General features: G+C 38.7%; 1 protein-coding gene and 1 long non-coding RNA gene across 31 annotated transcripts in view, besides 1 other annotated feature; one reads left to right on the plus strand and one right to left on the minus strand.

Moving 5' to 3' along the window:
• The window catches only part of LYPD6B (LY6/PLAUR domain containing 6B), a 176,564-nt gene that overhangs the window by 134,252 nt on the left and 22,151 nt on the right, over positions 1-20,161 (plus strand). For 3 of the 29 annotated variants that reach the window (XM_047443416.1, XM_047443414.1, XM_005246306.5), the window contains 2 exons: positions 14,476-14,629; positions 15,708-15,781. The exons of 25 other annotated variants lie outside the window; for them this stretch is intronic. In XM_047443416.1, coding sequence (XP_047299372.1) covers positions 15,726-15,781 — 56 coding nt within the window. In that variant the 5' untranslated portion in view covers positions 14,476-14,629; positions 15,708-15,725. The remainder of the gene's footprint in view (positions 1-14,475; positions 14,630-15,707; positions 15,782-20,161) is intronic. One more of the 29 variants, XM_047443417.1, reaches the window with a different exon arrangement.
• On the minus strand, positions 1,788-11,445 carry LOC105373677 (uncharacterized). 2 transcript variants are annotated; one of them, XR_007087264.1, is made up of 4 exons: positions 11,358-11,435; positions 4,467-4,548; positions 4,037-4,103; positions 1,788-1,826 (listed from the first exon to the last, which is right to left on the minus strand). It is a non-coding gene; the product is annotated as an uncharacterized LOC105373677 (long non-coding RNA). The 2 variants fall into 2 exon arrangements; XR_923458.3 differs by lacking the exon at positions 4,467-4,548 and having other exon boundaries at positions 11,358-11,445.
• Positions 12,297-12,466: an enhancer, noted in NCBI's record as "experimental_53218 CRE fragment used in MPRA reporter constructs". NCBI's record gives its function as "activates a minimal promoter by MPRAs in K562 erythroleukemia cells, with activity observed for both the introgressed and non-introgressed 2:150041846 variant alleles {active_cell/tissue: K562}" and the evidence as "EXISTENCE:reporter gene assay evidence [ECO:0000049][PMID:34662402]".

The raw sequence follows: 20,161 nt of genomic DNA on the forward strand, positions 1-20,161 counted from the left end.
ATATCATAAGCCAATACCTTTTAATAAGCATATATATATATATATATGCGCTTATATATATGTGTGTGTACATATATGTATATATATTCACATATTTATATATATGTTCTATGGGTTGAATTTCTCTGGAAAAACCTGACTAATACAATCGTGAAGAAGAATTTTGTTTGATTCAGGATGAGGTTCAGTTGTGCATTAGTTTCTTTAAGCAGCAGCACTATTACTGTGTTTTTTTTTTTAAAAAAAGACATGGTGTTTGTAATTACTTATAATTCATATAGACGAATTGCTAACTAGCAAGGTCTTGGTTATTCTTTGCCCGTTCTGTTGATTATTTGAACCATAAGTTTATATTTAACATCTTGTTGATTTCAGCTTGATGCTTTAGTCTGTCAGGCCTTTTTTTTTTTTTTTTTTTTGCATCTTGATTCTGCTATGAAACATAGTAGCTGCCATTCCTGGCTTTGTGCCATCAGTAAGTTTGATAAAATGTCTTCTTATCTTCATTCAAGTAATTCATTCATTCAAGTAATTGATAAAAATGTTAACTACAATAAATGACAGAGTTCCGCAGGATACTATTAGCACATTTAGGGTTGAGACTCATCTATTAAAAAAATTATTTGGCAGCTTATAATTTGCTATCATTTCCCTAAGGATAGAATATTCTATTTATTGCTTTGCCAAAATCTAGGTTGTGTATGGAACTCTACTGATGTAATATCTTGTAACCATGTCACAAAAGAAGGGAGATTTGTTTGGCTTGACTTTACGTTATGATACACATCCTGGACCTAACTAATCACTTCCTTTTTTTTCTGTTTGCTTACAAACCAGCTACTTATCTGCACATTAATCTACACCTTTATTTATTAATTCAGAGATTTGTTTATTTGTGAATGTTCAGTGTCATGTCTAGTACTCAGTTTACAAGACATGGTTCCTGCTTTCAGAAACCTTATAGTCTAATTCTGTGAAGAATGTCAATGATAGTTTAATGGGAATAGTATTGAATCTATAAATTGCTTTGGGCAGTACGGCCATTTTCACAATATTGATGCCTCCTTTCCATGACCATGGAATGTTTTTCCATTTATTTGTGTCATCTCTGATTTCTTTGAGCAGTGGTTTGTAGTTCTCATTGAAGAGGTCCTTCACTTCCCTTATTAGCTGTATTCCTAGATATTTTATTCTTTTTGTGGCAATCGTGAATGGGAGTTCATTCATGATTTGGCTCTCAGCTTGGTGTAAAGGAATGCTTGTGCTTTTTGCACATTGATTTTGCATCCTGAGAATTTGCTGAAGTTGCTTATCAGCTAAAGAAGCTTTTGGGCTGAGATGATGGTGTTTTCTAGAAAAAGGATTGTGTCATCTGCCAACAAAGATAGTTTGATATCCTCCCTTCCTATTTGAATACCATTTATTTCTTTCTCTTGCCTGATTGCCCTGGCCAGAACTTCCAATACTATGTTAAATAGGAGTGGTGAGAGAGGGCATCCTTGTCTTGTGCTAGTTTTCAAAGAGAATGCTTCCAGCTTTTGCCCATTCAGTATGATATTGGCTGTGGGTTTGTCATATATGGCTCTTATTATTTTGAGATATGGTCCTTTAATACCTAGTTTATTGAGAGTTTTTAACATGAAGGATGTTGAATTTTATCAAAGGCCTTTTCTGCATCTATTGAGATAACCATGTAGTTTTTGTCTTTAGTTCTGTTTATATGATGAATCGCATTAATTGATTTGTGTATGTTGAACCAACCTTGCATCCTAGGGATGAAGTCTGTTGTTCGTGGTGGATTAGCTTTTTGATGTGCTGCTGGATTCCTGTCAGAGGTTGGGGGGGTGGGAGGAGGGAGAGAATCAGGAAGAATATGGATACTGGGCTTAATACCTTATGAATGGATGATCTGTGCCGCAAACCACCATGGCACACGTTTACCTGTGTAACAAACCTGCACATCCTGCACATGTACCCCTGAACCTAAGATAAGAGTTGGAAATAAAAAAAAATTTATAGTCTAGTGAAGGGAAGAGATATATAATTATAATACTCTGTGAATAATCTCTTTAATCTCTCTCTCTCTCTCTCTCTCTCTCTCTCTCTCTCTCTGTGTGTGTGTGTGTGTGTGTGTGTAGTCAGGTGTCACTTAATGACAAGAATATATTCTGATAAATGCATCATTAAGGCATTTCATCATTGTGCAAACATCATAGAGTGCACTCACACAAACCTAGATGGTACAACCTACGATACTCCCATGCTATATGTTATAGCCTATTCCTCCTAGGGCTACAATCCTATACAGCATGTTACTCTACTGAATACTGTGGGAAGCTGTAACACAGTGGAAAGTATTTGGGCATCCAAATATATCTAAACATGAAAGAAGTACAATAAAAATACTGTATGAAAGATAAAAAATGGTACACCTGTATAGGGCATTTACCATGAATAGAACTTGCAGGACTGGAAGTTGCTCTGGGTGAGTGAGTGAGTGGTAAGTGAATGTGAAGGCCTGGGACATTACTGTAGACTTTAAAAACACTATACTTAGGCTACACTAAATTTATTAAAAATATTTTTCTTTTTTTATTAACTAATTTTAGTTTACTGTAACTCTTTATAAACTGAAAGATTTTTAACTTTTTCACAGTTAAGTAATAACATTTAGCTTAAAACACATTTTGCAGATATACAAAAATATTTTTTCTTTACATCCTTATTCTATCAGCCTTTTTTCTATTTTTAAAATTTTTAATTTTTAATTTTTTTTTTTTTTTACTTTTTAAACTTTTGTCTTAAAAACTAAGACACAAACACACACATTAGCCTAAGCCTACACAGGGTCAGGATCATCAATATCACTGTCTTCCACCTCCACATCTTGTCCCACTGGAAGGTCTTCAGGGGCAATAACATGCATGGAGCTGACATCTCCTATGATAACAATGCTTTCTTCTGGAATACCTCCTGAAGGACCTGTCTGAGGCTGTATACAGTTCACTTTTTAAAACAAATAAATAAAAGTATACTCTAAAATAATAATAAAATATAGTAAATACATCAGCCAGTAACATAGTCATTTATTATCAGGTATTATGTACTATACTTAATTGTCTGTGCTATAGCTTTATACAACAAGCAGCACAGTAAGTTTGTTTACACCAGCATCACCACAAACATGTTAGCAATGCACTGTGCTATGATGTTATGACTATGAAGTCAATAAGGGATAGGAATTTTTCAGCTCCATTCTCATCTTGTAGGACCACTGTTGTGTATGCTGTTCATCCTTGACTAAAACATCATTATGCGGCATGTGACTGTATGTGCGTGTGTGCACACAGATGTGTGTGTTTGTGTTACTTGTATAATAAAGATGGAGTTTTATAAACATAAAAGAGTAAATAATACCTAGTAAAGATGTGTCCAAGAGAGCAGACAACCACCTGGTGAGCTCAGGACAAGTTAAGTAAAATTTGAGCTGGGCCTTACAGAATAAGGAGTCGATCATTAGTTTCAGAAAGTGTGGCAGGGTATTGCAAGAAAGGAATAAAACCTCCATTGATAAGTTGTCTGGAGCTGGACTCCAGATGCCTGCAAAGACCCCTCTGCCTGCCCCCATGACATCCTAACCCCTGACCTGTGGCTTGTACTTGGTCATGTTATCTACTGACTTTCTTGCCCTTTCCTCAACCATTTGATTCACAGACTTCCAAACTGTGTCTGATGTTTTACTTTGGTGGGGCCTTCAGGCTAAACAGGTGACTACAGGCAGTTGATAAGACCTGCCTGAGGGCCATCTATATGCTAGCATGGTAGCCACCCCAAAGACTACAGAAGGCAGTGGATTTGGTTCTAAAAGACGTCCCATGCAGCCATATAGAATGCATACCTGACAAACTTTAAAATTAGAGTAGCAGCTATGCTTTAAACCAATAATAACTCTGCTAAAAAGTGCCTCTCCCCATACACACACCCACCATCCCCATGTCCCTGGTCATCTAAACATCCTCACTTTGAAATGTCTTACCTGCTTTCATCCTCAGTTGAATTGTTTATGAAGATTTGAAGTGGATCAATTCAGCTGTGTTTGCATTCTGTAGGGCATGAAAAATGGTGTTTCAGTTATTATTGTGGTGAACTGAGGAACCAAATGCGCAGTCTGGGTTTTTAGATTGCAGGTGGAATTGGCAGCATCTGTGGTTAGAGAAATGGCCCCCAAACACGTGAACTGGGTAAATTTGATTAGCGTTGCATGGAGAGAGCCTGGAACATCCCAATGCCATTCTTCAAATGCATTTCCAGCTACTCATTTGGTGGGGAAATGCTTTTATTTTTCCATTGTTGGATCTCTGTTTCCATCAAATATGTAGCCATGTGGCTAAGGTGGTAACTAACAAAGCTGGCTGGGGTTATGTTTTTAGTATCTTGGCAGTAAAGAGAGATGTTTATTTGGTTACCTTAGCTCTGCTCCCATTTGGCTATTTCCTTCTGTCTCTTATTCCCCTTCACTTTGTTTCTTTGGCAGCCAGTAGCATTGCTCTTTGTAAAGAAAATGGATGTAAATTACCAGGGGAAATGAAACAACTCATACATTGATTTTTGGCTTAGAGGCCCGACATTTTGGGAGTCAACAGCAGGATGCTTTGCTTTGGGATCTGCAAGGGATTGGAGTAGATGGCTAATGCTCTGTGGGCAAATCTCATGCCTGCCAGGTGCTTCTTCATTATCCCTTCCATGCAATGAGCAACTTTAGCAGGCGATGTGCAGAGACTGTTTATAGGACTGATGGTGGTTCACGAAATCTGCTGCCCAAACAAGAGAGCTCAAACTGCATCTTCTCCTTACACAACCTGGCACTGTATCCCTTCTGCAAGAGTTTTTTTTTTTTTTTTTTGTACTATTGAAAGTGAATAGAACTGGAAGTAAGGTAATGTTTATTGAGCACTTATTATATGCTAGGCATTGTAAAACACACTTTGTACTTAATTAATGTAATTTTCACTGTATTTTTTATAATTTACTCTGTACTATATCCCTAACATTTAAGTATTACTGTCCTGATTTATAGAAGAGAAAATTGAGATTCCAAGAAGTATTTTTTTTTTCAGGTTAAACAGTTCCTAATAGTTCTTAAGTTGAGGATCTCAGAAAAATATCCTTGACTCCAATTAAATCTAAAATACACTAAGTCTTAAGACTAACTCGTGTTCCATTAGGGGCCAGAGGTTTAAATACTCAGGCTGAGAAGCAATTAGGCTTCCAGCACAGCCTTTCCATGTGGATTCAGCATATAGACAGTGTCCATTGTTCTTTCCTCTATCGCCATCCAATAATGTCAGGGCTTTCATATTTAGTTTTCATCTTTTAGAAATTTATTTTAAAGTATTATAAAGACAACATCTTATCACCACTGTGATCTAGATGTCCGTGCAAAATTAACTAAAAGTCAGTTTCCTATCACTTTACTCCCCCCACCCCCGTGAAACTGAACAGTGCTACCTGAACATTCTGTCCTTTCAGCTGACAACAAACAACGAAGTGACGGAGGCCATGCAGTGTGTAGTCCCTGTTCACAGAGCAGAGCCTGTCAAAGTCAAGGGACTCTGCATCTCCATCAACTTCAGACACTGGCAGCCTAACTCACCTTGCTTTTGAAATTTTGTTTTCCGTTAAACTTGAGAAATGCCTTTAATGCTTTCTTCCTGATACTAATACATTGTAGACATGATCTTCTAAGCCTAATGGCTGTTTTATGAGCTCCTGGAAACCAGTCAGTGGTATATATTCTTCTCTTTCTCAACAAATGATGCATCCCTGTACTTACTCTAGCCAGTGGGTCTTGTCAATAAATCTGTCAAAGGCCAGGCCAGTCTGCACAAACATGCTCTCCACCTTCCCCGATGGAATGAGAGGCGGCCATTTAGAGCTTGGTGGGATGGAGATTGCTTTTTAAAATCAAGCTCAAGAATAAAAGTATATATCAATTTTCATTTCTGTCTACTACCGTCGTCATGAGATTACTTATTTTTCCTTCATTAGCCAATTTGTAGATTGCCAAGTTTGGGAGTGGGGAAAGAAAGTCGCAGCGGTACACACTGACTTCAGAATCACCAACTAGCTGCAGGCAGGAGACGAGTGCATGCTGGCTGGCCTGCTCCCACCTCCCACAGTGATGCTGAAGTGCTAGTCCTTCAGGAGGAACCCAAAGGGAGGCTTGTGTATTGAGTTATCAGGCTGGGGACCTGAGAGCCTCAATTTCTCCTGGCATAATGATGAGTCTTCAACGTGAATTAGAAAGCTCTGCAGTTATGCAGATAATTTTCAGAGACGGCACACACAGTGTTTTAACCCTCAAACCAAGTCTACCAATCTCAGTAACTCTTAGTAGCTATCTGGCAGTGCCGATGACGATGATAAAATCTGTAGCCTTTATGTTGGTGAATTACTTATGATGTATAGAGAGCTGTGTGACTTATTTTAAGGAGATTTTATATTCCTAACAGGGGTGATTAAAAAGACAGACTCTATAGCTCAGATCAGTATATGTGCCACAAACGTGTTTTTCCATCCATATTTCTAACTGGGATGTTTCTGTTAACAGTGTTGGTGAGTGCCTGAAGGTCATTTTGATTTATTATTTTTTAAACCAGGCATTCAGAATATCCAGGAGTTAATCAGTTCGCAGAGACCTGCTAATTCATAACTTACAGTCTCTTGCCACTAATGTCACTGCCAGCAAAGTCACAGTCCCCTCAGCATCCTCCATCTTGAAAGGGTGACGTGCCGCCCTGCCAGCGGAAAGCTTACCTGGCACTGTTGGTTTGTGTATCATCCACATTCTCCCCAGTTTTTCTAAATTAACAATAGGAAGCATAGCTGGTTTAGGAATTCTTTTAGTTAGATTAGGTAATTCACAAAACTGGTAGGAAATCGTTCAACCTAAGTTAAAACCAAAACAGCCATATCTTCAGGAGACATTTTCTATAAAATTTTATCACTTTTATTTATTTTATTTTTCCTGACAATAATGAAAGGAAATGTCAGAAATGGAAAGTTTGTCCCTTTGTAACTGGCGAGAAACTGGGTTTGTGTTTGCCTAACTTTTCTCCTGGAAGATTTAATCAGTATTTGCTGTCAAAGAAGAGAAATGCTCTAGCATCTGCGAAGACACTTTGTCTGTCTCGATAAACATAGTTAAGGTGACGGTATGCCTTATGTGAAAAGGTGTGGGGAATACTTTTTTAGGATTCGAATACAAAAAGACAGATTTACTAGGGGCTCTACTGGGTTTTTTTCTCCCTAAACTTCCTGATTCAGCGGGCAGTGAAGGAGCTGGTACAATGTTATATGCTGTTATACAAGTGAAACCAGCTGGATTTAATGATTCCCTGCTTCTGGGTCATAATTCTTTGGTAACTGCGAGAATTCCAAACTTGCAGCACTTCTTTGTCTTCCCCAGGGCACAACAGCCCTTTTCTTAAGGTGGTTTTTGTTGGTGGTGGTGGAGGTGGATTTTTATTTTGTTTTGGCCTTAGTCTTAGCCCCCCAGAGGAGACTGAAGTGAGGAAAAAAAGAAATTATGAAGTGTTGAACTATGAATGAGTCAGAGGAAGTATTAACTAGACCCTCTTTCCTACTGGAAGCATCCTAAGCTTAATTTGTGGGCAGGAGGCTCAGCCCTGGAACAGGCTCCCGGTCTCACTTCTGGCGATCTGAGGCCCAGCCTCGCTGCCTGTGGCCGGGAGCTGTGTCCTGATCCTTGATCCTGGCTGTGTGTGCTGTCCTGGTTAGGACATCTGAGAACCGGCTCTGCCACAGGCACAAAAAGGACCCGGAAAGAATCCTGGCCCTGGGGCTTCAAAGTACACGAACTGATTTTTGTTCTTTCAGTCCTCAGTTGCCCAATTTGATGTACTTTAAAAAGGCCTCTCAGTGGGCCTCACCTGCTCTGTGACCTTGGACCAGGCCCTGTACTTCTCTGGTCCTGCTTCCCAATCTGTCTGTGGCTGGGGATGGACTAGATTGTTGGCTTTTCAGATGTGTTAAGCTATGGAAGCCTTTACCCAAATAAAATTTTGTCAAAGATCCTAAAAGGAGCAATTTTATAAAATCAAATCTATTCTCATTTAAATGGGGGTGAGGGACCCAGAGTACCTACCCCACACCCCTCTCAATTCCCCTTCATCTGTTGGAACTCCAGCAGGGTTGTGGGGCCCCCATCCATTCCAGTCTAATAATAGACTGGCTGAGTTCAGGAAGTCACATTAAATGGAGGCCTGAAAATGCAGGTAATTTTACCTTTGTTAATCCTGAATCCTGGAGACGGCGTATCTTATAGGTTTTAAGCGAACCAACCTAAAATGGCTTAATCCATGTTAAGTTTGTAAACACCAAATCCCCTATCCCTTGTAGCCAGAGTCGTTCAGCTTTGCTGTTGTTCAGTGACATGAGATGACAGATGCATCTGTGATGAATTCTGCCAGGATACCCACCTTAATATCTCAGAACTACATCAGGCCCCCAGCCACTCTCTGCTGGATTCCAGAAACCCAGACTCTTTGCCTCCCACCTTCCATCCCTTGAACCCATCTAGCACAGGAGAACACTGTATCAACTTCCTTAAACTTTGCATTGATCTTGGCAGTCTCCTTTGCAAAAAAGTCTCATTGCTTGAAAGACTCTAACTCAACTCCTGACTTTCTGAATCCTCCATGGATAATTCCATTTTCCTATCATACCCTGTTTTCCTTCTAATACACTTCCTTCTAATACATAATCCATTTCACGAAATCATTCTTCTAGTCTCTGCCTCTAAACCTGTGGTCATGCTCTTTGCCCCTGCCACTATTTGCCTTTCCCCATGAAAATCTTACATCCTATTTTTCATTCAACAATATCCTTTACAGTTCACCCTCCAAATTCTTCTTTCTTCTCCCTCCCATGGCAAGGAAAAGGCAGCATGGTATGGCAGCAAGATTATGGAACCAGGAGAGAGCACCATGGCTGCCGTCTGGAATTCTGCCGTGTATCTGCAGGGTGCCCTTGCCTAAGCCCCTTGACCTCTTTGGTTATAGTTTCCTCATCTGTAAGTGGCGTTAATAATATCTCCCTCACCTACCTCACCATGTGGTTGTAAGAGTCAAAGAGGTATTGTGTGTGAATGCATTTCATCTAATTTAAGCACCTTATATTTTTAAATTTTTGTTATTTAATAGTAAGGTATGTATGAGGTATAATCATAATCATTTTCTGTACCCTATAGCACTCATTTTAATTCTTTATTATATGCTGCCCTGTGCTTACTCCAGTTATTTAATGCATCATCAGTTTTTTGGGTCGAAGAGTTTTCATATAGTTTAAAACTCCATGGTGGTTATCACAGTGTTGACCACACAATACGTACTTCGTATAGATCTGTTTAATAGAACTTTGATTTCTGATATCCTCCAACACCTACTATTTTTGGTGTGCTGGCAGTAGCAGCCATTTAATCATCAGATAAATACTTGAAGTTTTGGCAATCCTCCCACAGCAAGATTGAAATTCTAAGGATTTAAAACAGACATGGAAGACCTTAAGAAGCAGCGTAAATAAGTTGCTTGGGTGAGATACTCTCTTGAAAATTAATTCAAGTGGAACTCAGTCCTAGGACTGGTTAGAATGAGTCCAGCTGTCAGTCCCTTGAATCAGCACTGCCTCTCTAAAGCTCTGTGGATGCTCACAACCAACAAGGAGAAAGTCCCCTTCAGTAGGAATGAATCTCAGACTGTCAGGATATACTGTTATTTACTGAAGGGGCTGCTTCAGAAATAGCAAAATTGCCCTTCAATAGGGTCAAGGGATTATGTATTTTAATAGCCCACATTACTTTGCATTCCACTTTTTCCTAGTCAAATACTTTCCATGAGAAAATGTTCCTGTATTAAGTTATGTCCATTATAAAAGTGAGTGCTCTTAGTGCTTCAGTAAGTGGATGGCAAATACTTCTTCATGTAAGTGGAAATTATTTCATTTTGGATCACAGAGAAATATACCATTTTTTTTAGATAACTAGAATATCTTTAGGAAAATAAGGTGAACATGTGATAAATTCTTATCAGGGAAACAGGCATTCTGGGTACCACTTAATACACTGAAGATTTAATTTGCAAAGGATAAGTTGGTGATCAGTAAAATTTAATTTTTTTCCCTTTCAAGCTTGATGTATCTACTGTACCTTATGCTTCTGGAAGAAGTAAACTTTGTTGGAAGGGTGAAATTTCTAAACCAGAAATGGAGATAGAAGAGCTATGGAGTTTGCTGGAAATCCTCTAAGTAGGAGATTGCCCAATTCCTAGTTTAGGGTGCGTAGACTGAGCCTCAGCAAGATACCTGGTCATACTGCAAACCTAAGCACTTGTCTGTACCCATCCATTTATTCTGATGACATCTGCAGAAAATCCTAACCAGTGTGCTTGCTTTCTTTTTTGTTTTTTTAAGAAAATAATTTTTTTTTCCTGAGACATTTGTTCTATGTGGCCAATCTACAATGTGTATAGATTTGTTTTCTGCAGATGTGCTTATTTCTGGGAACATCTCTGCATGGTTTCAGCATAAATAATATGCTTCCTTACCTACTATAAGCTACAGAAATTACTGGCATTTTAGAATACATGTAGTAGAGTTAGTAATGCTTCATAACTCATTGTCCCTATAGCAACGGCCACAGGTTTGCAGTTTGTACGTGGACTGCCTTCATCACTATATTCAAATCACTTTAGGACATGGGCCATGTCTTACTTAAATTTTTATTTCTAGTTCCTCATATAGCGCACAGTAAGTGCTCAAGAATGTTTATTCAATGAATAAAAGAGGAAAATACATACATATACATATATGTGTATGTGTATGTGTGTGTGTGTGTGTATATATATATATATATGCCTGTATTTTCAGTTTTAAAACTTTATTTGGCCAGGCGCAGTGGCTCATGCCTGTAATTGCAGCACTTTGGGAGGCCGAGGTGGGTGGATCACCTGAGGTTGGGAGTTTGAGACCAGCCTGACTAACATGGAGAAACTCCATCTCTACTAAAAATACAAAATTAGCCGGGCATGGTGGCGCATGCCTGTGATCCCAGCTACTCGGGAGGCTGAGGCAGGAGAATCACTTGAACCCAAGAGGTGGAGGTTGCAGTGAGCCAAGATTGAGCCATTGCACTCCAGCAACAAGAGTGAAACTCCATCTCAAAAAAAAAAAAAGTTTATTTGATTAATGCTTCCTCCACTAAGAGAAATTCCACAGGTAAATTTGGATTGATGATGCCAAAACATGGCTTTTCTAATCCAGTGTGCAACATAATTACTTACATGTAAGGAAGCCAAGGACATGGGATACATTCATCAATGTGTGGCCATGGAGCAGCTGTGAACTTTGCCAAGTTTTCTTACATCTGTCCTTCTGCAGGGCCCAGGGACCTCAGCCTCATAAAGAAACTCTTGAACCATCTCTCAGTTTTCTTTCATGAGCTACCATTGCCAAAATGTGTAGAAAGTTAAGTAGAAGCATAAGAAGGGAGAGCAATATTTTGATATACCACTACCTAGTAGGCCTCATTAAGGTGTTATATTCCTGAAGTTCTAGAATTTTCCCTGAAGAATTTTATAACCAAATAAAGCTTGTTAGAATGTTGATTGTTGCTTGGCTGTTGTTTTCCTGATGGAAGTTTGTGATTTGACATCAGCTTGGTACTTTTCTTCTGCACTCCAACCTCTGTCTCTTTCTCTTGCTTTGTCATACAGACTTGTCACCTCTGACTGTTTTGAGTTAATGGTGAGAAACCAGATATGCATTGCTGTCAGGTGTGTATGGAGTGGTGGCCATGTGGCTTAGAACACTCCTAAGTCTCTGTCTTCTCAGTGTTCTCATTTAAATGTAGTACGCGATAGGCATGTTCCCTGTACAAGCATTTTTTTTCCTTATTAAATCCTTTGTCCCATAAAGTGCCTCTTAAAAGAAAATATGACTTTGCTTTCTCTTCTTTGTTCATTCCAAGATATTCAGCAAACATTTGAGCCTCTGCTCCATGTCAGGCTCATTTCTAGGGATGAAAGATTACTCCTGCCATCAGGGAGCTCAAATGTGGTAAGAGAGGGAGACCGGCATCTCCTCCTATACACATATTCTTCTTCCTGTTGAAGAATCTGGCACCATGCCCAACTGTTGCATGGGCTTCTGGGGCACTCAGGGATTAAAGGCAAGATTTTTTTCAGTGGACCAATTAAAGAAATTGAAGAATAATAAGGGTCTGAAGCCCAAAACTAGAACAATCTCACATTAAGCTGGTGAAATAGCAGCAGTGATTGCCATCTGCTGACACACCACCCACCGGTAGGAAGCAAGAGTTCTAGGCCAGTCAGGCCTCCTGTGAGCTGGGAACCTATCCCTGATTAGAGTAATTAGAGCGACTCCCTGAGCTGGCTTATAATTTGCTTAATCACACTTATTTCACTGAACTATGGTTTTGGCATAGGTGGTTTTAGTGGGGAAAAATGCAAGGTTTGGAGAAAAAGGAAAGTAAGCAATTAGGGAAAAGGAATTCCAATTGATTCTCCTCCCTAGTCAGTTTGGGGTTGGCAGAAAGGGAGGCAAATGACATGAATGACCACACGTAAGTAGAAGGAGGCTGATTTGGAAAATACAGGCCTACCTTGTTTTATTGCATTTGGCTTTATTGCACTTCACAAAGATTGCATTTTCTGCAAATGGAAGGTTTATGGAAAGGTTTAAGCAAGTCAATCAGTGCTGTTTTTCCAACAGCGTGTGCTCACTTTGTGTCTCTTCATCACATTTTGGTACTTCTCACAATATTTCAAACTTCCTCATTATTATTATACCTGTTATGGTGATCTGTGATTAGTGATCTTTGATGTTACTATTGTAATTGTTTGGGGGCACCATGAAATATACCCATATAAGGTGGTGAACTTGATCCATCAATGCTGTGGATGTTCTGACCGTACCAGTGATTGATCATTCCCTCATCTCTCTTCCCCTCCTTGGGCTTCCCTATTCCTTGAGACATACACTATTGAAATTAGTTCAATTAATAACCCTATGGCCTCTAAGTGTTCAAGTGAAAGGAGGAGTCACATATCTCTCACTTTAAATCGAAAGCTAGAAATGATTAGTCTTACTGAGGAAGGCGTGTCAAAAGCGGAGACAGGCTGAAAGCTCGGCCTCTTGTGCCAAACAGCCAAGTTGAGAATACAAGGGAGAAGTTCTTGAAGGAAATTAAAAGTGCTACTCCAGTGAACTCATGAATGATAAGAAAACAAAACAGCCTTATTGCTAATACAGAAAAAGTGTGAGTGGTCTGGATAGAAGACCAAACTAACCACAGCATTCCCTTAAACCAAAGCCTAATCCAGAGCAAGGCCCTAGCTCTCTTCAATTCTGTAAAGGCTGAGAGAGGTGAGGAAGCTGCAGAAGAAGACTTTGAAACTAGCAGAGGTGGGTTCATGAGGATGAAGGAAAGAAGCCATGCCCATAACATAAAAGTGCAAGGTGAAGCAGGAGGTGCTGATGAAGAAGCTGCAGCAAGTGATCCAGAAGATCTAGCTAAGATCATTGATGAAGGTAGTTACACTAAACAACAGTTTTTTGTTTGTTTGTTTGTTTGTTTAGAAAAAAGTCTCACTCTGTCACTCAGGCTGGAGTGCAGTGGTGTGATCATGGCTCACAGCAGCCTCAACTTTCTGGACTCAAGTAAGCCTCTTGCCTCAGCCTCCTGAGTAGCTAGGATTTAGAATATTTCAGAAACTTAGTTGGTAAAACAGTGACAGGGTTTGAGAGGATTGGCTCCAATTTTGAAAAATGTTCTATGGGTAAAATGCTATTAACCAGTATCACATGCTACAGAGAAATCTTTGATGAAGGGAAGACTCAATTGATGTAGCAAACTTTATTGATGACTTAAGAAATTTCCACAGCCACCCCAACCTTTAGCAACCACCACCCTGATGAGTCAGCAGCCATTAACATTAAGGCAGGACCCTCCACCAGCAAAAAGATTATGACTTGCTTAAGGCTCAGATGATAGGTAGCATTTTAAAATATTTTAAAATTAAGGTAGGTACAACTTAATAGACTCCAGTATAGTGTAAACATAACTTTTGTCTGCACCAGGAAACTAAAACATTTGTGTGACTTGCTGTATTGCAGTAGTCTGGAATCAAACCCACAATATCTCTGAGGTATGCCTGTAGGTCCTTTGAGTCTTGTTTTTTGAGAGTTACTGAGATCACAAAAGGAAGCAGCTGGTAATTTCCAGAAACATGTTTGTATAAGCCCAGAATTTGAATAATGCACTAAATGAAGTGTATTGCATATATTTAATTATTTATGCCCAAATGGCTATCATTTCTGAGCCTGCTCTGCCATGGTCCCATGACTTGATACAATTGTTATAAGATTATTATTTTCTAGATGTGAAAGGCATTGTACAGAAGAAGATGAGAATCACAGTAAACCAAACAAAGGAAATGCAGAAGAGATATTTTCAGCTGAATATTGGAAAGTAAGATTCCCTGCGAGCAGGATCTCAGGCAACGTCAATGAACAACATGAAGCCTGACACATTGTAGGTGCCCCGTAAATATTGGTTGAGTAACTGAATAAACGTATTTAGTAACTTAAGCAGGCTTGTCCAATCTTTTGGATTCTGTGGGCCACATTAGAAGAAGAGCTATCTTGGACCACACATAAAATACGCTAACACTAATGATAGCTGATAAGCTGAAAAAAAGAAGTGCAAAAGAAAATCTCAAAATGTTTTAAGAAAGTTTACAAAATTTGTGTTTGGCCGCATTCAAAGCCTTCCTGGGCTGCATGCAGCCTGTGGGCCATGGGTTGGACGAGCTTGCCTTAGAGGGTATAAATTGGATTATTTTATGAAATTAATTAAAATGTGGCTTTTAGGTAAGGAAAATGTAAGGAAAGAAATGAATGGGTGAAGATTTTGAATGTGGCAAAGCATATTTTTCAAAGTTTTAGCTGGGAAAACATTAGTTATTCTCATTTCCCATCAGGGACACAGTTTGGTTCCATTTTCTTCCCTAAGATTCAATGACTAGGGAAGCATTTTTGTAAAATTGTCTTTTCCTGGGTACAGCATTCCTAGTTTCTTTTGCTCACCTGTATGGATGTTGTGAAGAGACAGTATAGGAGAGAGACAAGTGCACATTTAAACTACTGATTATAAACATTATTTTCTCTCATTTACTTCTAGATCATGAATTTAATATCCCCCCTGTGATGCAAAGTAGAGACTCAGAGGTGTCAGATTCTGGAGGCTAATTGGAGGCCTTGTTTTTTCACTTATAAATAGGCCCTACCTTGGATCTCTTCTAAACTCTCTTGTCAAGCCATGGGCTGGTTGGTTCTGACTTTATCTGAATGTGATGTCTTCCTCTGCTCCCATGTTCTAAGCCCTTGCACCGAGGGTGGGGAAAAGGATTGACATTCTCCACCTAACCCCAGCCCAGAGTCATTACTCATTCAGGATGTGATGAATAAATATTGCCTTTGAGGAAGACATACAAATTTGCCAAAGAAAGGAATGCAGTTCTGGGACCTCCTAGCTACAGGATTATGTAAATCACTCAACACCCAGTAAAGTTGAGATTGTGAAAGTCAATAATTTTCCATTTGTATTACAGCTAATTAGTCTAAGGAAAATGGTGACAGAGGATATATTCCGTAACGTCTCAGGAGGTCGCCTGGCTCCAGAGAGGTAGTTTTAAACATACTTACCTCTAAGATGTTTCATGTGGGTAGCTAGTATTTATGGAGTTCTTCCTGTCTTCCAGGCATTAGTCTAAGTGCCTTAAGACAAATGAACTCACTCACTCGAGGTCATTGTTTTCTATTATTTTGTCATTTTCACAATGAGGAAACTGAGGCACTGAGAGATTCAATAACTTGCCCAATGTTATACTCTTAACTTTTAAGACCTGATTCTACATGTAAGGAAACTGAAATGCTGAGAAATAGCCCAGGTGTGCCAAAATATTTAGCTTTTTCACTAAGCTAAATAACAAGAATTTCCCCCTTACTATATATGTACAAGGGACCATTGCCTCCTTTCCTATTGGAGTGGATGGTAGCCCCCTCTTCCTATGAAGACTTCATGCCAGGGGCTAAAGAGTGAGAATTCTCAGGCCTCCTCCTCTTGCCTACTCAGCAGCCTGAAATCTGGGGTCCCAGAACCTCAAATGTAGTCGTGGGAGATATGGAGCTATTTTTAATATTTCAAAAAGCATAAAATAAATTGTCTATTCAAGGGCAATAAAACAATATGGGCTAATGAGGGTATAAAAACAATTTTTTTGATTTGTCCAAAATTATATATATATATATATATATATATACACACACATATGTATATATGTATATATCATGTTAAATAGTAATTTAGTTATCTCATGTGGATCACTTTTTACGGCAATTATGTGTTTTTAATCTTAAAAATGGATAATGAATTATCTTCTACATAGAGTTTAGATAAATCCTTCTAAACATGGAATCTGAAGTTAGGAGTAGGGGCAAGATAGAAATAGAGCTGGGGGACAAAAAAGTTGGTGCCTGTTGGTCTGTAGAGTAAGGGAGAAGTGCTGCTAATAGCCAGCACATCACAACACTATATACATAAATGGAAATAAACCTGTTGGGGAAGCAAGGCAATGCTTCCTGGCTGTTGATCTTCCTTACCTTCATTCTTAATCAGCTTTTATTTAGACAACTGTGAATGTGCTCTTAGCAGGATCTCAGGGGACTTTACCAGTGCAGTTTGCAAAATGTAATTAGGATGGTGAATTGTCAGGTACCCCTATGCCCACCTCCAAATGATGCATTTCAAAGCCAAACAAAAATGCTATTTTGTACCATCTGCTGTTTGAATTTTTCAAGTCATTGGTCCATTAGAGAGAACTATTGAGCTTTAACCATAAACTATAGAGCCAATTGAATTGTTTTGTTTTAATTTAATTTTTGAATGAGTCATGCATTCACATGGATTATAAATCAAAACAGTGAAATGAGTTATACTCTGAGAAGTCCCTTTCTCACTTCTGTTCCCTTGTACTATAATTTTTTTATCCCTGGCTCTCTACCTGTAGGCCATTGCTTTTATTAGTTTCCTAGGTATTCTTACTGAGTATATTTATCCATATATGAGTAAACACATATAGTGTTTTTCATACTGTTCCCTCTCTAACACAATAGGTAACATATGAGGTAACATTGGTAACACAATAGGTAATGTGTGTGTGTGTGCACGCACGTGCGTGTGTGTGTCTCTGTGTGTGTGCACGTATCTATATTCCTTTTAATGGACACTTGGGTTGTTTTCAGACATTTACTATTACACACAGTGCTACAATGATATCATGCCAATGTATCATTGTACATGTATGCAAGTCTACCTGTAGAATAAAACTAGAGTAGGATTTTTGGGGTCAAGGGTAAGTACATCTAAAATTTTAATAATGTTGTCAAATTGCTCCATAGGGTTTGTATTCCCCCAAGCAATATATGAAAATTTCCTGTGGTCTTCTCAAAAGGAGAGTGTTAAGAAAACATGTTCATGTATCAGCTTGGCCAAAATTTAGAAGTTATAAAGTACAATTTTCATTTTCATTTCTCCTATTCAAAAGATGCTCAGCTGTTCTCATGACATTTAAGGGCCATTTGGTGGATTTTTCTATGAAATGTGTATTAATTTTCTTTGCCAATTTTTCTATTGGATTTCTGATAATTTTCTTATGATTTCTAGTAGCTATTTCCATATTAGTGAGATTATCTATTGTTTTAAATGTGATAGGAGTTGAAAATATTTTCTTCAAGTTATATGTTTCTTAACTTTGCTTATGAGTTTTTTGTTATACATACAGAAGTTGTCTAATATAGTTGAATTTATCAAACTTTAATTTTATACTTTCTGTGTTTTGAATCATGGTTAGAAAGACCTTTCCCTACTCCAAGAAAGTCACTCATATTTTCTTCTGGCACTAAAAAAAATACATTTTATCATGAACAATTTTAAGCTTATACAAATAGAGAAAATAGTACAATAGACCCCAGCTACCCATCATTCAGCCTCAACAATTAAGAATATTTTGCCAATCTTATTTTATCTATTTTCTCACTCATTTTGAGAATGCTTAGAGCAAACTCCAGATATATTATTTTCTTCATAAGTGCATCTCTATATGTAGCAATAATATGTAAGGATGGACTTTTTAGAATATATCCTCTAAACAATTAAGATAACAACAATTCTTTAAAACTTAATTAAATAATGTAAAATTATTTAATAAAATTATTCTTGTTCAAATATTCTTTTTGGAAATGTTTATGGCTTTGTTTTTGTGTGTATAGTATGAGGTATGTATCCAACCATATTTTTTTCCTGGCCACTCACTTGTCCCAACTCAACTTCTTTAAGTATATCCCTGCTTCACTAGATTATGTTTGTGATATAACAAATTCTTATATGTATTTGAGTCTATGTCTGGACCGTCTATTCTGTTTCATTTGTCTGTCTGCTCATATGCTAGTCCTGTCTATACTGTTTTAATTATTGGCACATTACAGAGTTTCACTATTAGGACTAGTCATTCTCCAAATGAAATAGTAAATTACCTACTCCAACTCATACTATATAAAAATTGAAAAAATTATAATTTACAATGCAGCCTTTTCAGGTCAGGGAGAGGCCTGGTGATTTAGAAACTGGCAATAGAGAAATGGGAGTCAAATATGTGACAGTGAATGTGATCCCTAACGAAAGTACTAGTAATAGCATCCTGCTATTATATAGTTATATATTAGTTATATCCTAATATACCATGAGAAAGTAAATAGTAATAACATAAAAGCCTGAAGCTTGGGGCAGGCAGGAGGAGGAAGAGGAGCCAGCAAAGGAAAAAGGACACTGTTTTGGTGGTTGAATTGGAAATCACCAATGCTGGTTCTTCTTCAGCAAAGTGAGAAAGGTCTAGGGTAGAGATGGCTGAAATATTTGCTTTATGCCATTCTCTGGGGAGCTTGCAGAGAAGCAAGGCCTAGGTAAAGCGTGTTAAGGAGGGCTATGCTATCATCCTGCTCCAGGCAGATCACAGGTCTGGACAGGCAGCAACCCTGAACCTCAAGCCTGCCGGTGGGCTGGCTTGTGCCTCTGAAGACGTTAGAGTTAACCTCACTGTATGCTTCCCAGGAAGACAGATGAAGATGTATTTTTCTCAGCCTTCTTTCCAGGAAACAGTATTAAATTTACCTAACGACATATTTTTGTCGGGAAGAAACTAAGAGAAGTGGCTTCCTTTTTGTTTTTCTTGGATACTTTGATATTGGCAAAGAAGCGGCTTCTAATACCAACTTATTGTAGGAAAGACATCTCAAGTGTTTGGCAGGGGCAAGTCTTTTTTTTTTTTTTTTTTAATTCTCATATCTCCTAGACTCTGTCTATGTTTTCACCAAAGCCCAGAGAATGATCAGATGGTCAAAGCATGGTGAAAGGTGGAGGAATGGCCTGGGATTGGTATATCATGACTTCATTCCCCTGCAGACACCCTTAATTACCCTTGGCACAGCTTGTAACCTCCTCATCCCCAATTTCCTCCTTATACCCTGGAGATGATCACACCACCCTTACCTCACAGGGATGTGGAGAGGATTAATTAGTTTCGGATGGGAAAGTTCTTTGAAGATGAATCATGGAGTATAGTGAATGTGCTAATTTGAGCCCTCTTAGCCCTCAAGTTGGAATAACTGCCCACTGCCCAAATGCAGACACTAAAGGGTAAATGCAAATTGATCTGCCTCAGAGCCAGGGGAGTGGGCTTTGCAAACTGAAGAGAATGGTGAAGTCAACCTCAATCAAGCATTTATTCAATGATTACGTTGGGCAGTCTCTGGGGGGCTTTTGGGGAGTGTTAAGTGGGGGAGTGATGAGCCCTGAAGTACATGTGCTGTGCTCGCTTCTGGAGTGATTATTACCCACAGCAGAAGACAGTTGCCAGACTTGTGAGTCTGTGGATTAGAAGTCATCTTTGCCATCAGTGGATGTGAGCTGGGCATCGGGTACAGTGGGCTCCACATCCCATACACTGTG

Source organism: Homo sapiens, chromosome 2 (genome assembly GCF_000001405.40).
Source record: "Homo sapiens chromosome 2, GRCh38.p14 Primary Assembly".
Taxonomy (NCBI): domain Eukaryota; kingdom Metazoa; phylum Chordata; class Mammalia; order Primates; family Hominidae; genus Homo; species Homo sapiens.